General features: G+C 37.9%; 1 protein-coding gene across 1 annotated transcript in view, besides 1 other annotated feature; it reads right to left on the bottom strand.

Annotated features, from left to right (window-relative positions):
• ARID5B (AT-rich interaction domain 5B) overlaps positions 1-17,510 on the bottom strand; it is a 195,246-nt gene that overhangs the window by 141,876 nt on the left and 35,860 nt on the right. The window contains exon 3 of the mRNA NM_032199.3: positions 14,661-14,886. Within this exon, the coding sequence (NP_115575.1) occupies positions 14,661-14,886 (226 nt within the window). The remainder of the gene's footprint in view (positions 1-14,660; positions 14,887-17,510) is intronic.
• Positions 14,811-14,940: an enhancer, noted in NCBI's record as "active region_3400". NCBI's record gives its function as "activates an Ori minimal core promoter by ATAC-STARR-seq in GM12878 lymphoblastoid cells {active_cell/tissue: GM12878}" and the evidence as "EXISTENCE:reporter gene assay evidence [ECO:0000049][PMID:35858748]".

The raw sequence follows: 17,510 nt of genomic DNA, 5'->3' as shown, positions 1-17,510 counted from the left end.
CCTCCAAGAGAAAATAACACACACAAAACCATGGCACATCATAGATTGCTTTTTTTTTTTTTGAGATGGAGTTTCGCTCTTGTTGCCCAGGCTGGAGTGCAATGGCGCGATCTTGGCTCACCATGACCTCCGCCTCCCAGGTTCAAGCGATTCTCCTGCCTCAGCCTCCCAAGTAGCTGGGATTACAGGCATGCACCACCATGCCAAGCTAATTTTATATATTTAGTAGAGATGGGTTTTCTCCATGTTGGTCAGGCTGGTCTCCAACTCCTGACCTCAGGTGATCCACCTGCCTTGAAGTGCTGGGATTACAGGCCACTGCTCATGGCCCATAGTTTGCTTTCTTATGGAATAAATAGATACCACAAGGACAAAAGAGATTTCCAGTTGGGATGATTTCACAAACACACAAGCGTATTCACACACCTACTCATGCACATCCAATAAACCACAAGAACACCAGTTCACAGCCAGAGAAACATCAGAGGAGCTCAGCAATACACATGTTTTACATGTGATCATCCAGAGTACATTCTGAATTCCTGGCACGAAATTTTCTAGCCAACTAGCATCAGCTGTTAATCATGATCTAAGAGTGATCAGAGGAAGTAAAAAGCAGGTCTGTAGGACAATACACACAGGTAAATTTTAGCATCGAAATTTATATATATAATTTTATTTTATTTTTATTTATTTATTTATTTATTTTTTGAGATGCAGTTTCCCTCTTGTTGCCCAGGCTAGAGTGCAATGGCGCAATCTTGGCTCACTGCAACCCCCACCCCCCAGGTTCAAGTGATTCTCCTGCCTCAGCCTCCCGAGTAGCTGGGATTACAGGCACGCGCCACCATGCCTGGCTAATTTTGTATTTTTAGTGGATACGGGGTTTCTCCATGTTGGTCAGGCTGGTCTAGAACTCCCAACCTCAGGTGATCCACCACCTCAGCCTTCCAAATTGCTGGGATTACAGGCATGAGCCACCGTGCCCGGCTGAAATTTATATTTTTTAAAAATCACATTAAAAACTTCAAAATTCCTACAGAACTGGGATCATGGCTCACTTAACCCTCAATCAATTTCAATGTCTTATAATAGATAACTCAAGTGTTTGTGAATTAAATAAAATGAAATAACATACTACTGTAATCTCTGTCTTGGTATTCTTTTTATGTTGCATCTACTCACTTTGCTTTCTTGAGTAAGGGTTTACCTTTCTAAAGGAAAGGGGAAAGGAAACTAATATTGTTGACCAAGTGCTCCCACTGTGTGTTGGGTACCCCTATAGATGATCTAACGTAATCTTCCCAAGTCCTGGGAGACAAAACTGTGAGATGGGTATTGTTAACGCTGATTTATAGATAAGCAATCAAAGCAGAGTGAAAGCTTTTAAGGCCATACAGTTTATGGAGCAAGGACTTCAATCCAGGTCCATCTTACTTTGTAAAGTTCATGCTCTTTCCGCTACAACATAACTGACTACTGAGGTTTAGTACAGTGGTCAAAAAGAAGCTACCCTAAAATGGCAGCTTCTGTGTTTGCTCATTCTTCTAAATCTTTGATGGAAAACATTAATACAAATCAATGGGAACTAAATGAGCATTCTCAATTAAAAAAAAAAGAAAAGAAACCCAGATACAGGCCGCACATGTGAAAAGCCTGTATCTTTATACACACAGCCATCACGTGATAGTTAATTAGCCAGGTAACTATAGGTTTTTCTCTGCTAGAAAAGTATATGTTTCATCATGCTTTGAACTCTGCCTTATTATCAGCTCTGCTATGAAAACAATGTTTTATTTCCTATTGAGAGAATAGGCCAGGCATGAAGCATTGTTTTTGTAAGGCCTAACAGAATACTTTCTTTGTGAACAAAAGTTGTAGAATGAGTAGTTGGAAGATGGAGAATATCTTCCACCATAATTAGCAAGCAACCATTTTAAGGGAGGCGAAGATTAAAACGGTGTGATTGCCTAGAATAAGCAGCACTAGATGTCGTGCTACAATCATCTTCTTAATAACCTGTCATCTTAAAAAAAGATTACAAACAAGCCGATAATAATAAAAAAAAAGGTAAGGTGGAACAAGTCCAATCTGGATTTATTCCCTGCATATTTTTGTCACTACTATGACCCTGAAACACGAAGAAGATTCCCTTGAGAAAGGCATTAATATGTACCACTATTAAGATGTAAAATGTCCACACACACACACACACACACACACACCTATAACACCACCTACAATCCTCAGGCTAGCAGGATAGCTTCAAGCATGTTCACGTGATCTCTCAATGTGTTTTCTAGAATGAGTGATGAATAGATGACTACTAATTAGACCAAGAATAGTTAGCAAACTAATACCCCAAGTAGCTGCTGCTTCTACAGGGTACCAATGAAACAGCCTCTCCACTAGAGAGTGTCTTAGGAAGTGCTCTAAAAGAACTCAAATCAACCTTCAAATGCACATAGGTGTCTCAAGTAGACTAAGAACAGAGAACTCCAGAGATTTCAGGAAAGTCTGATCATAAAAGCCGCATGTTTACTTAACCTACTAGGTATAGCTTTGATGTCTGAGTGCTAACACTATAGAGTTAAGACTTTTTGGGAAGATAAGATAAACACATGAAAAAAGATACTGCATTATATTGGTAGGTATAGAGTAAGGTGATCAATAAGGTGGTAGAGACACTAAATGTGATAAGATAAGAGCTCAATAAAGCAGGGCAATTCCTCTGAGCTGGAAGGCTGAGAAGGGCTTCAGAGGCTTAAACAAGTCTTAAACGAAAGGCAGAATTCCCACAGGTAGGACTCCTAGAAAGGCTATTCCACGAGTAGAGAGGCATGAGCCACTTAAAACACACTGGAGAGTTTGGAAGGCAGGGGACTGAGTACATGTGGTTAAAGAGAAAGAAAACCAGGCAGTTAGACTAGTTAGGCTAGGGCAAAGAAGGTTTAGGAGAGGAGATAAGGTAGGGGATAGGTGTCTTAACGTTCTGTGTGCACTTTGAACCAGCGATCCCCCCCTACAAATGTATAAAGAAATAGTCATGGCTATGTGCATAACTACAAGAGTTTTATAAAGTTTGTGGGAATCAGAAAGAGCTGAAATGCCCAACGATAATTAAAGTATGAAACACCTCTGTAATGAAATATTCAGCAGCTGAAAAAAAAACCCAGTATAGGATATTTTACAATATGGGGGCATATTTATAATACCTCTGTACAAAATTAAGTATGGGAAGGTAGATTCCCAAACAGTAGATTTTATTTTTATGAGGAAAAATAATATCCATATAAATTCTCACTGATACATGCATTCATATGCATTGGTACATATACAAATACTAACAGCACTTCTGAGTGGGAGGAAAATAGGCAACATTAATTTTTCTGCTTTTTGTTTGTCAGTAGTGCCTATATTTTCTAAAACAAACATGGATAACATTGGTAGTAACAAAAAATAACAATAATGAAAGTTACTTAATGAAAAAGAGAAGAAAATGGAGCCTGGAAGTTCACTGGATACTCCTGTAACATTTGTATTTTATCCCGTAGGCATGAAGTTTGCAAAGAAACAGGGATCCTAAGCGGAATGCCAATATTTAAGGTCAGAAGTAAAAGATAATAGAAATAGTTAAAAATTCAAAAAGCAAGTGGGGCTGCCCAACGGAAGAGAGTTCTAGGCAAGGCACAGGCTCTGGGGTTTTAGGGAAGAAAGAAGCAATACCACTTCATCCAAGCACACCAAATGAAAACACACAGTGAGGCAACTAGGAAAAGCCTGAAATCATCAGCACTATTTGCTCAGCCCCTACTGTGCATGAAGCACTTCACGAAGTCTTTGAAAACCCACTATTATTCCAGTCTGTCCTAAATAAATACATTTATTAAAATAAGCTAAAAGTCCAAACCTCAGCTTTCCTCTGCAGTGACCTGCATAAACTACAGACTTAAACACATAATGTTACAGGAGAGGAGTGAATCTGACATTTAGGAAAGTTAATGTGTTGCAACAGAACTTCAGACTTAAAAGTACTCTAACAGATTAAACAAACTGTTCAAAAGAATCAGTGTCAATACCACCGAGTATTAAGAGTAAATGCACAAATCAGATACCTGCTCACAGAACCCACTGGAAAAACCACATCAATTCACATGTAGGATATATCTGCTTTGTGTTCCAAGGTGATGCTATCATGATAGCAGCTGTAATAATGGCTCACTGTCAGTAATCATACAGTGGCTAATGAGGTGAGAGGTAGAAGGCAAACAAAAACATTTTAGAGTTATGACAAAATAAAAGCATCATGCACCTCCAACTGAAAGGGGAACTGCTGAATCAAGCCTCATTTTTATTTTATTTATTTATTTTTGGAGACAGGGTCTCACTGTGTTGGCCAGGCTGGAATGCAGTGTGGGTTGCCCAGGCTGGAGTGTAGTGGTATCATCTTAGCTCACTGCAACCTTGAATTCCTGGGCATAAGTGATTGTCCTGCCTCAGCCTCCTGAGTAGCTGGGGCTACAGTTGGGCGTCACCAAACTCAGCTAATTTTTAAAATTTTTTTGCAGAGACAGGTCTCACTATGTTGCCCAGGTTCCTCTTGAACTCCTGGCCTCAAGCAATCCTCCCACCTCGGCCTTCCGGAGTGTTGGGGTTATAGGCGTGAGCCACTGTGCCCAGACAGACCTCACTTTAAAAGCACATCTGAGGTACAGAGTCAGTGTTGCATTCTCAAAAGATATTTAAAAGACCATGATGGTCCGGGCCAGGCATGGTGGCTCACGCCTATAATCCAAGCACTTTGGGAAGCTGAGGCGGGCAGATCACGAGGTCAGGAGTTCAAGATCACCCTGGCCAACATGGTGAAACCCCGTCTCTACTAAAAATACAAAAATTAGCTGGGCGTGGTGGCACATGTCTGTAATCCCAGCTACTTGGGAGGCTGAGGCAGGAGAATCACTTGAACCCGGAAGGCAGAGGTTGCAGTCTGCAGAGATCGCACCACTGCACTCCTGCCTGGGTGACAGAGCAAACCTCCATCTCAAAAAAAAAGAACAAAACATGGTGGATCAGTTGGGTTTGTCCTTCACAATAGACCCACTTTTATCACCAAATGCAAACAGAATTACTGGTCTAAGTTTGGCAATCTATCAGTGATAATGAAAATTTATGAGCTTGTATGAAGCCAAGGCCGCATAAGACTTGTTCCAGTCAATCCAAGGTACACAGCAAGAAACTAAAGGCATAGCAAGGAATAGGACCATAAATGAATTTATTCTTTCATCTTTTGATTATCTTCTCATCAGATGGCAATCTCTACAGACAGTTCTTTGGGAAATTAACATTTCAAATTAATGAAGCTAAAACAAAATTATGAATTCACTGTCTTATCCATCACGGTCTTTTTTTGTGGGGGCGTGGGGGGGTGGTGTGGACAAAGTTTCGCTCTTGTTGCCAAGGCTGGAGTGCAATGGTACAATCTTGACTCACTGCAACCTCCGCCTCCCGGGTTCAAGTGATTCTCCTGCCTCAGCCTCCCAAGTAGCTGGGATTATGGATGTGTGCTACCATACCCGTCTAATTTTGTATTTTTAGTAGGAAACGGGGTTTTACCATGTTGATCAGGCTGGTCTCAAACTCCTGACCTCAAGTGATCCACCTGCCTTGGCCTCCCAAAGTGTTGGGATTATAGGCGTGAGCCACCGTGCCCAGCCTCCATCATGGTCTTTTATCATAGATATGGCTGTAAAAAAACAAACTGCTAGAAAAAATAGACAAAACAAAACAAAAACAAGAACAGCTTAAGTCCAAGAGAACAACATGATTAAACTATCACATATGAAAATTTAGGAAAGACTTGCAGTTTTTATATTATTTGGTTGGAATAGCTTAAACAGACTCTCAGACACCAAGCTGGTCTTCAACTGTAGACCGTTACTGAGGCAAAAATCAGTTTGGGCAAGCCCTATCCTAAATGCTAGAGTAAAAAACTACAGGAACTACAGAAGCTCAAAAGGCACAACATTGATATTGAGCCACAGTAGCTGCCATATTAACAACGATGTTCATTAGATACTAGTCTACACTTAATATTACTGTGTATAAAAACAAACAAAAAAATAGGTACCTAAACTTCAGGGAGTGTAGTGGCAGAATATTTTCCCCCTTTTTGCTCTTACTTATAAAAAGGCCAAGGCCATACAGCTCTAGAGAAGAGTCCAGTAGTTTTGCTAATGTCATGTTGTATCTGGAGGATGCCAAGCCAGCTCCTTAGAGTTCTGGCCATGCGTAATGGATCACTGGGGCCTTTCTCTAGAATCTACTCCTATTCTGGCTCTAGGATTCTTAGTAAAAATGAGCTCCTGCAATATAAATGAGTTAAATGGTATAAAAAAATCACCTCAGCTGGGCATGGTGGCTCACACCTGTAATCCCAGCACTTTGGTAGGCCAAGGTGGGCAGATCACGAGGTCAGGAGATCGAGGCCATCCTGGCCAACACGATGAAGCCCCGTCTCTACTAAAATACAAAAAAATTAGCCGGATGTGGTGGCGCGCACCTGTAGTCCCAGCTACTCGGGAGGCTGAGGCAGGGAAATTGCTTGAACCCAGGAGGCAGAGGTTGCAGGGATCCGAATCCAGCCTGGTGACAGAGCAAAACTCCATCTCAAAAAAAAAAAAAAAAAAAATTACCTAAAGTGTATCCTAAGATAAGTAACCGTGATGGTGAGGGATTCTGAAAGCACATCTTAGGGAAGAACTGAAAAGAGAGGCCTGACGACTGTTAGAAGGAAAAAGAGGAGAAAACAATGTTCATGAAGGCCCCTTCCAGCCTGACAATTCTATAAAGAGTTTCAGAAAAGCATGATGCAGATTCTTGTACTCCATTACTCCTTTTGCATACATTGTATCCTAGAGGTAAATACTGGTAGCCTGGATACTAAAAATAGCACAGAAAGTTCCAATTTCACTTTTTTTCTACTTCTGCCCTGACATCTCCAAATGGAAAAGTAGGAATAAATTCCAAAATTCTACAAACTTCTTTTCAGCTGATGGTCCATCTTCAGTCCGTCATCAGAAGAAGAAATGAACCTGGAATTCTAAGAAGCTTTCGTGGCTGCAGGAAACACTAGAAAATCCTCAGGTCAACAGTAATTCCAAATGAAAGGGTCTTAACTTGGATTGTGCCTTCATGAGTGATGGCAGTACAAGTACCTGGGCAGCATTATCAACGACCAGCTGTTGATTGGCTCAGACTTGGTCAGATTTCACAAAGACCTCTTTTCTAGCAGGAATAGCCAAGATGGCTGAGTGTAGACAGCATAAATGAATATTACTTATTTGAGCCACTTTTACTCACTCATTCTACCACTATTACAAGGCAATATTCAACTATTTAATTAGATGGTCAAGCCAAAATTTAAATTTCAAATGAAATGAATAATCTTATTCCTATGTGTTATAACCATATGTATTCCTAGTTTCTTAGAAAACATACTGGGTTGGACACAGTGGCTCACACCTGTAATCCCAGCACTTTGGGAGGCCAAGGCGGGTGATCACTTGAGTTTAGGAGTCTGTGACCAGCCTGGCCAACATCGTGAAACCCCGTCTCTACTGAAAAAATACAAAAATTAGCTGGGCATGGTGGCGGGCACCTGTAATCCCAGCTACTTGGGAGGCTGAGGCAGGAGAATTGCTTGAACCCAGGAAGCAGACGTTACAGTGAGCCAAGATCGCACCACTGCACTCCAGCCTGGGCAATGCAGTGAGACCCTGTCTCAAAAAAAAAAAAAAAAAAAAAAAAAGAAAGTAAGTGAGAAGATATACTGGTAATAAGCTGTTCTAAAACTCTGAATATCTTGGATGCAGATTCTTGTACTCCATCAAAAGTCCTTTGGGTTGTCACATTATAACGGCATGAGGCAATCTCTTGAAGAGTCATGTGGGTACTTGGAGAGTATCTCCTCCAATGTTAATTGGGCTATGATAAAATTCTTTAACGAATGCATGGTTAACACAACAATATTGTCAGAGAGAAAATCCTTTGGAAAGTATCTTTACAAGTCTTTGATAAGTCTCGTATGTAATTAGTTTCCATGTTGAACTTAAGGATACTATAAAGGCCAAATTATTATTATTTTTTTTTGAGACAGAGTCTCACTCTGTTGCCCAGGCTGGGGTGCAGTGATGTGATCTCTGCTCACTACAACCTCCTCCTCCTGGGTTCAAGCAGTTCTCCTGCCTCAGCCTCCTGAGTAGCTCGGACTACAGGCGCATGCCACCATGCCCGGATAATTTTTATATTTTTAGTAGAGATGGGGCTTCACTATGTTGTCCAGGCTGATCTTGAACTCCTGACCTTGTGATCCACCCGCCTTGGCCTCCCAAAGTTTTGGGATTACAGGTGTGAGCCACTGCGCCTGGCCCAAATTCGTTTTAGTTAGAAGGTTGCTCTGTAATGATTCTTCATGATATTCATGAATAGTATAGTGCAACAATATATTATTTAAGAAACTTCTCAAGTTGCAGTGTTAAGAAAAATAGTAGACTTAGGCCAGCAATCCAAGCAACAAATACCTTCAAAAGACTCTTTAATATACATACAAAATTTAAATCTAGAAAGGAAGGAAGGATTGTCCCAGTAAGAAGGATGTCTTCCAATCCTAGTAAATTCATTAGCAGTGAAAAGTCTCTATGACAAGATGTCTGCATTTAGCATGCTTCTTACAGACATTTATATTGTTTTCTTCAACAAAAAGTGAGAATCCTTCCCATGTCCACATCTCAGGAAGCTGCCTGACATATCAAACTCAAAAGTGATCTGAAACAACCATTTGCAATACGAGGCCTCCAGAATCTCCAAGCAAAAACTACAGCTAATTTTTAACCAAGAGTATTTGAGATATCCTATACAACTGGCCACTTATGGCTCAGTTTATTTTGACAGAATTTTCAGGAGGATAAAAGTTTATAAAATATAAATATATATTAATATATAAATATATAAAATGTTTATGTTATATGGTATATATTACATACATTTATTATTTGAAATAAATATATATTAAAATAATAGTCATATATAATATGTATTTATATATATACATATAAACAAGCAAAAACCTAAAGGACTTTTATAATAGTTTTCTATCGAGGGAGACAGTAATGAGAGTAAACCCTGTTCTAAATTACTAGAATGTGTGTGTGATTAGGGAAATTCAAAAGGGACAAATAAGCTAACCTTGTACCACATGGCTCCCTATCATACAGAACCTGCTTCTGATAATAATAATGTACTAATAATACCACTTTAGACTTCAGTATCACAAATGTTTCCATAGATATTAACTAATTTGTTCTCAGGTGGTCTTCTCAAAAATCCAATGAGAAACAGCCAGGTACATATTATTGCCCATTTTAGACAAAACAAAGCTGAATGTATAAACAATATATCATTTAAGAAACTTCTCAAGTTGCAGTGTTATGGAAAATGGCAGAGTGAAACCAGCAATCCAAAGTAAAATATAAACAACAAATACCTTCCAAAGACTCTTTAATATACACATAAAATTTAAACCTACTTTGAGCCATTTGGTTGAACAGTTGTGTTCTTTTCATGTCACCTTAGAGCTGTATAATAATATTTCACTTTATCTCTGCAGCAATGAAGTGAGTACAGATATTTTATTTTACATTTGAAAATCTCATTGTATTTTATCTTTTTTTGTGGCTGAGAATTAAGAATTCATTGCTCTCATTAATAAAAGTTATTTCTCTTCACTGAAAAAAATAAAAAACAAAAAATATATACACATAAAATTTAAGTCTAGAAAGGAAGGAAGGATTGTTCCAATAAGAGGCATGTCTTCAAATCCTAATAAATTCATGAGAGCACTCAGGTAAAAAATCATACAGTGTCTTCCAGTGACTTTTCCAGTGGTGACAGATCTACATGTAGAGCCAAGATTCTCCTGACAGCCCACCCTCTGCTCTTTTAACCCCACCATGCTGTTGACTCCCAAAAAGTACAGTGAAAGTCCCAGCAACAGAAGAAAGGGGGAAGCTACTCTTTCTCAATTTGATGGGACAGATTTAGAAACAGAAATTGAACTGAGGGAACCCCCATCATTAAATTCAGCCAGACCCCCACACATAATCTTTGGGTCTTTTTTCTCAGTTTCAGCTCAGACTCCTCTATCTTTTCTTTCTTTTTCTAAAGACACATTTGGAGATGAAACCATTCATAACTGCCCATCCACAGACAGTTTGTGGCAGCATAATTGACAATGAGTCTGCTGCAAAAAAATGAAAATGCTGTTTTAATAACCTTGGCCTAAAATACATTCTGTTGTATGCCTCAAAGGGCTTCAATAAAAAGTCAACCTGTAGAGACATATTTTCTTGGCTTAAACAACAATCCAAAGCATATAAATGTAGTCCAACTATAATGACATATTTATAGGCCAATAAAGCTTACACTGCAGCTTTCATACTTCGCTTAAAGGAACTCTGTAAGAATCAGTGTTACATAAAATAATTTGATTTTTTTTTCAAACTATAGCCCAAGGAATAAAAAAATGCAAGTTTGCTATGTTTAACTGATAGTGTTTATATTCCTTACTTACTAAAAATTTTGTAAAATGAAATAATTCTTCATTTGACTACTTTCAACTGCCATACCAAATATGGGTATCAAGTCCACTTTATTATAAAAGCTAAGTACTGTAATTCTAAAGACAAAAATAAATAACTAGAGGCTTGTGTGGTGAATGATTTAATCAACCCAATTCTTCTGGAAAAACAGGTTCTTGTGTTCATTATGCTTATGAATAATACATTCCTTAACCCTCCTATTTTAACATAGTTATTTTTCTTTTTTTTTTATAAACTTCAGTATGAAACAGTCTGAAAGAAGGTAAAATATCTCACTGAGTAAAGTCATAATTTGCATTGGTTTCATATTGAACTTTCTTTCTTTGAAAAGGACAAAGAGGAGGGAAGAGAATGAATGCACTTTACCACATTTCAGAAGTGTTTTTTAAGATTATTAGTTTTTCCACTATCCAGATCTGTAGTTTTAGTCATCAACCATTAAGAGTCTTAAATGAAAACTCTAGAGAGTTTTAAAAAGCAGAAAGATGACATCCTCAAATATTGTCTAAATGTGCTCCCTCAAGGGGGAAGGGGATAAAAAAAAAATGAAAGAGTTGTGATTTGAATCAGAGCATTTATTGGAAGCTGCCATGTGGGGCAGAGTTTCTCTTTGTGGAGTATTAATTTGTTGGCAGACACACATTTGTGAGAACATTCTTGTTTTTTTTTTTTACTATTCAGAGAGAGACAGGAAGTGACACAAACTGGAATTAAAGCGAACTTATTCTACCTAAACACTAAGCAAGAAAAGTGCTTTAATGAGCTTTTATATTTTAAAATCCCTTCTCTAAGAACCAATCTAATTATTTTGTTATTATTCATGTTTCAACATTATGAAATAACTCAGTTAAAAAACGATAACATGTTGGAGTTTTACTTTATCCATAGAAAGGTGAGATCTTTCCGTTCTTTGCTTACTTCCACCAGAAAAAAAGGGGGGGGGCCTCAAATAATCTCACAGTTCATCTTCTTTCTTTGGTAAGAACAATGAGGAGTTGGAAGGGTTCTACAGAAGGAAAAACCTAATAAGTGTGTGAATTTCCATTAACAATGTGGTATTGGAGGTGGTTTCAGTGTGACCAACAGAAAAGGAGATAAGAAAACCACTGCGGAGAAAGAAAAGTACAGACAACAAATATTTTGATGTTATAGAAGAGGCTGAAGAGAAAGTTGTGGGGACAGGAATGTGTACAGAAAATGACACCCCCTATCTCCTCAATATAAATCCTGACAATGTAGACTTACAAACCTTAGATTAGGCAGATAATGGAAACTCATTACATTAAGGAAAGTTTTTGTTTCTCTTTCCACATTATTACAACACAGTGTGCATTCCAATTACAAAAGCTATTTGTCTCAAATTCCCCACAGTTCATAGCAACTGAGTAGAATTTCAAGGCCCTAAATTCTATCCTTAAAGGGGTATTTTACATTAAAAATTTTTTAAGTACATGGTGTTTCTTGTGCCCCAGGAGAGAGCCTCCCAATCAACTCTCCTGTTGATCATTTTCCCTTCTTCAGCACTAATCATAAAGCTGTCTCCAAAATGAGACCAAAACAAACAAACAAAATCAGACTCAACCTAAAAGCCTTTTTTGTTTTGTTTTGTTTTGTTTTTGAGACAGAGCCTCGCTGTTGTCGCCCAGGCTGGAGTGCAAAGGTGTGATGATTTCGGCTCACTGCAACCTCTGCCTCCCAGGTTCCAGCAATTCTCTTGCCTCAGCCTCCCAAGTAGCTGAGATTACAGGCCCCTGCCACCACACGTGACTAATTTTTCTATTTTTAGTAGAGATGGGGTTTCACCATGTTGGCCAGGCTGGTCTTGAACTCCTGACCTCAGGTGATCCACCTGCCTCGGCCTCCCAAAGTGCTGGGATTACAGGCGTGAGCCACCGCACCCGGCCAGGAACCTTTTTATCAATACACATTCATTGGCCTTTCCTTACTCCTACTGAATGAAGAATCTAGAAAAGCTGGTCTCAGTAATCAGTATTGTTTTTTAAATTTCTTTCTTGAGTCTAATAAGCAACTAAATTTAAAAACCACTCATCTAGATTTTCCAGGCCAAACCACCTGCAAGTACTGTGAATATTCACTATAAACCAATTTCTTCTGGAATCAACTGCAAAAAGGTAGAATATGGACCTTCTTTTTTTTTAGAATCCAAGAGGATCAACCTTTTATTTCTTTGGGTGGAATTAAGAAATTAGACTTATTTTCCTGTTCATTAATAAATTATCCATTTTAAACACAATTTTAAACATAAACCTTGCTATAAATACTCTTGTTTATATGTGTGACATCAAGCTTAACCATCTACACATCCTTTTGTCCCCTGTGGGTTTCCTGTTTAATTTTTTATTAGTAACAGTATATTCCATAACACACACACACAAAATTAAACAAACAAAAGAAAGGTTTTAATGTTAAGGAAAACATAAGACAATGGTAATACAACTTAGATCATACATTAGGAAAGTAACACAACAGATGTATTATTCAGCATTACCGCAAGTCATAAGACTAGTTATTGTGTGTTCACAAAACTGGGGGGTGTAACAGTATATATAGGAAGATTATCAAAAAACTCTTTGGCTTTAGAAGGAAAACCACTAGTCTAATAATTGTCTCTAAATGTGCAGGTGACAATCAGGCTGCCATATCTAAAATGTTACTGTCTGACATCAACCAAAAGATGCCAGGAAACCGTTGATAGTTAAACTCAAACTGCAAGAAAATATTAATGCTATTCCCAAAACACAGCACAGCTCATCACAAACCAGGGTCACATGAAAGCCACAGTCAGTTACTGGTGTTATTCAGTCTCTTTATGCCAATTAAAATAAATTGCCTAGGTTTGTTGTAATAGTTAAGTTCTGGGTTTAAAAAAAAAAAAACCAGGAAGTTGTCACATTAAGGCGTAAAATAGGACTGCAAAAATCAGCATTGTGCGCAAATGAAAGAAAAAGATGCCTTAATATGTTAAAGTGCAGTTCCTCTTTGCCTAAAGAGGAAATAACTAGTCTAAATCAGAGGACAACAATTTTCGTCTTGGGCAATGCTAGGAGAATAAATCAGTGAATGACACGGGAATACAAACAGAAGAAAAAAAAAAAGCAATGAAAGGACACAAAATGTCACTGGAGAAGAAAGTGTTAAGAAAAAGCAATAGAACTAATTATGAAGCCCCTCCTTTATGCCAGTCAATGTGCTCTACCCCTTCTATCTCACATCTCACAATAACCCTGTAAAGTTCCCCTATTTTTTAGATGGGGAAACTGAGGCTTAGAAGTTAAATTATTTGCCTAAGGCCATACAGCTAAGAAGCAGCAGAGTTAGTATGTAAACACCAATCAGCACAACTACTCCAAAGCCCAAGTTCTCCTTTAAACTTACAGTGGAAGAGGGAAGCAAAAAAAAAAAAAAAAAAAAAAAAAAAAAAAAAAAATATATATATATATATATATATATATATATATATATATATATAGTTGATGGTACCACTGAACACTAAAAGATCAAGCAAACCTATGCCATTGGTTGCCAACCAGTGGATCCCCTGGCTTGACATTGTTCTCTTGCTCCACATTGAGGAACTCATCCCTTTTCCTCAGTTTGTTTTCCACTCAATGTAAAACATGAAATTGGGACATGGTGTTAATAGATGTCATACTACATACTTATAGCAAGTATTTAAACTCTTCATTAATTCAATTTTAGGTGCTCTAATTAAATTGTATGCCTTGACATCACACTGAAAATTGTTTAGAACCACTGTATCACCCCAGCACAAGGGTCCATACATAAAAGGTCCTTTGATCCAACAGGTAACACTCATCCCTTACCCATCCAGTCATCTCTCCATCCATATTCTTAGGACCCTTTGAGGTTAAAGAAATTTGAAATACATTTATATATAAATGATAGTGTTTCCAGAAAAATCTTCAACCGAAAAGTTACTATATACGCCCACACATTAGATTTAAAATTACAAGTCATATTTACCCAGGTCTGCCTTCTCCTTGAGAACGTCTTTGAAGTTGAGTCCACTGTTTAGGGTTGACTGCCTGTACTTCAGCAGAGCTTCCTTCTGTCCATTCCTTCCCAAGGCCTCAGTTTTCACTGGTCCAGCGTGGAAGCCACATCTCCACTTGGAGAAATCAGAATGTACCCACTTGACCAGGTCTTCAAGCTTCACAATCACCTTTTCGGAAACAGCAATGACTTCATCCTACAAGAGGTGGTTGGGGAAGAACAAAAAACGTTATTTATAGGTTTGAGGGAAATGATCCACTCTCCACAAGGCCCATCTGAAATGCCATGTGAGTGGTTTAACCTAATGCAAGGAGACTGTGTGCATTCTGGTGACACAGAATCTTTAGTAACTCACTTCATTTCAATGGTTTTTCACTGCTAGTTGTTTAGTTAAGGAATAATTTTTATGTTTGTTATACAATTAGAAAGTATCCAAAAATAGGACAGTAATTCTAATAAGCCATTTTTAATGTTGGTTGCCCAAGTTCACACTCTACCTAGCTGACCACTTGGGTGAAAGCTAGTTTTTAGGTGTAATTAATTGCAAATGTAAAAAGTGAAAGCTAGATGACTAATGGTGAGCCTGTCTCTACATAAATGGTCTAAGTAAATCTAGGATTCTTGGAACTCTGACTCACCCCCAAATTCCTATGTTTATGGTACATTTTCCCTTGGCTTATACACAAATATTGAATTTAACTTTTGTCCTAAAAATTAAATAAAACTGTGATGTAATCCCAAAAGAAATACTTCATAAATGTTATGTGCTTCCCACTGAAAGAAACTTACACATTCTCATGTTTCTCAAAAACTTTGTAAGCTGAGAAATGAACTGATTTTTTCTTTTAATACAGATGGGGTAGAGGGTGAGAGGGTGAGTGAGGAAAAAGTCTTTGAATTTAAGAAAAGTAGTTGAAATGCAAGTTTCTCCTCTGGATCATAAATTTGAATGTTAAGCATCTCTAATTGCTTCTAGGAAACAACCAACTTTTCTGACTCAGAATTAATTCAGCAAGATCTTTAATAGACATCCATACATGGAACAAAGGGAGGCCCCTTCACCCAAAGATTCTTTGGAAAAGGCTCAAGAAGATCATCTCACTGGGTTTTAAGTTAAGTTATTTAAGCATCTGACATTTCAACTTGAACTGACTTCTTTCATTTCTTTTATTTCACATTTCTGAAGAAAGCTTGGCTGTGAAAACCCCTAAGATTACAAAATCTTAGAAATATTTTTGACAAACAACAACAGGAAGATGTCTCAAAGCTATTAAACAAAAGGAATTCACAACTGATTTTGGCTAATTTTGCTGTTAAACATGACTTTTTCCTCCTCCCCAAACATGACTTTTTCCTCCTCCCCCTGCCCCACCGACACACACACACACACACACACACACACACACACACACACTTCTCCAATTCGAACAAAAAAAGGTTATTAGGGTAAGCTTCACATAATAAGAAGCCCTGGGTTGAGGGTTTTTTTTTTTTTCTGATGTTTTAAGGTAGGATCTAAAATTTCAATTTTCCTCATTGAGTTCCAAGCTGCTTCTGAGAAGAAAGTCTATTAGGCAGCAGCAGAGTAACAAATACTCTATCAAAAATGAAAAGTAAAACTTTAGTAATGGAATCCTTTCCCTTATCATGATTAAATATGAACTACCACTAAATGGGAGACAAAGTGGAAACTGTGTTTCTATCGTGCGCTCAAGAAAAAATTTGAGTACTTTATAAACAATGGGGCCCATTACAAAGTACCATTTCAACGGATGATTTCCCTCAGATTCACCACACCATCCTCTTGAAATAAAAGATCTGTAGTTGTCATGCATTTTATAGCTATTTCATGGTGATTATTAAATGTCAGAATAAAGTCAGGCTAGATATTGTTTCAAAGCATATGGGAACAGCTTCTGGACAGGTGACACCAGAAATCAAGTTTAGAATGTACTGGAAAATAATTAGGTGTATCAGTCTCAACATTAGTAAAGAGAGAATTTGGCAACATTTTGACTAAATACAGTTTCCCAGAAGAGACAAGTTTGTAGATGAGTGTTATTTTCAAATAGCTCTCTGATCAAATGATTATCATTTCAATTACTAGTTGCTTCAGATCTTTTCCAAGAAATGGCATGACTATCTCTGGATGGCTTACAACACCCTCCAAACAAATAGTATATTAACCAAGAGAAAATACTATCCTTATGATGTCATTAATGAATAAACCCATCTTTTATGATTCAGTCTATAGGTTTTGTCCTCCCTTTTTCTCCCTCTCTCAAACAGATCTTTCATGAATACACACACACACATAAAAACAAATGCAGGAATTCACATAAACATGCATAAGCCATAAACCCAAGTTTGGCTTAATTGTGAAACCACCAGTATGTTTTACTGTGGATTCACAGAGAAACTGGCCCTGCAACATTGTCAAATGCCATAGAAGGAAATCTGATAAGGAGAGGAGGGGGAAACAGCAAGCCAACACCCCCCTCCCACCACAAGAAAACAAAAAGTAGCCAACATATATATAGAAAATGTCTCAGGAAACATTACTTTGTGCACACAATGGCATAAATCACATGTTCGCATTTACTATTCTGAGCAAGTGCTGACTAAAGTTCCTAATACTCACCATTCTTGGGCAAGTCTCTATGTCTAAGAAAAGAATTTCAATAAGCTCATCTCATGATTACATTAGCTCTCTGCAAACTGAGAATTAGCACTGGATAAATATTGCTGATTTACTCTAATACAACACAAAAGGAACACAAAGAAATACACTTTGTTATTCTATTAATGTACCTTGGCTTT

Source organism: Homo sapiens, chromosome 10 (assembly GCF_000001405.40).
Source record: "Homo sapiens chromosome 10, GRCh38.p14 Primary Assembly".
NCBI lineage: Eukaryota > Metazoa > Chordata > Mammalia > Primates > Hominidae > Homo > Homo sapiens.
The sequence above is the reverse complement of the archived record's forward strand: the minus strand, read 5'-3'. Positions and strand labels throughout refer to the sequence as shown.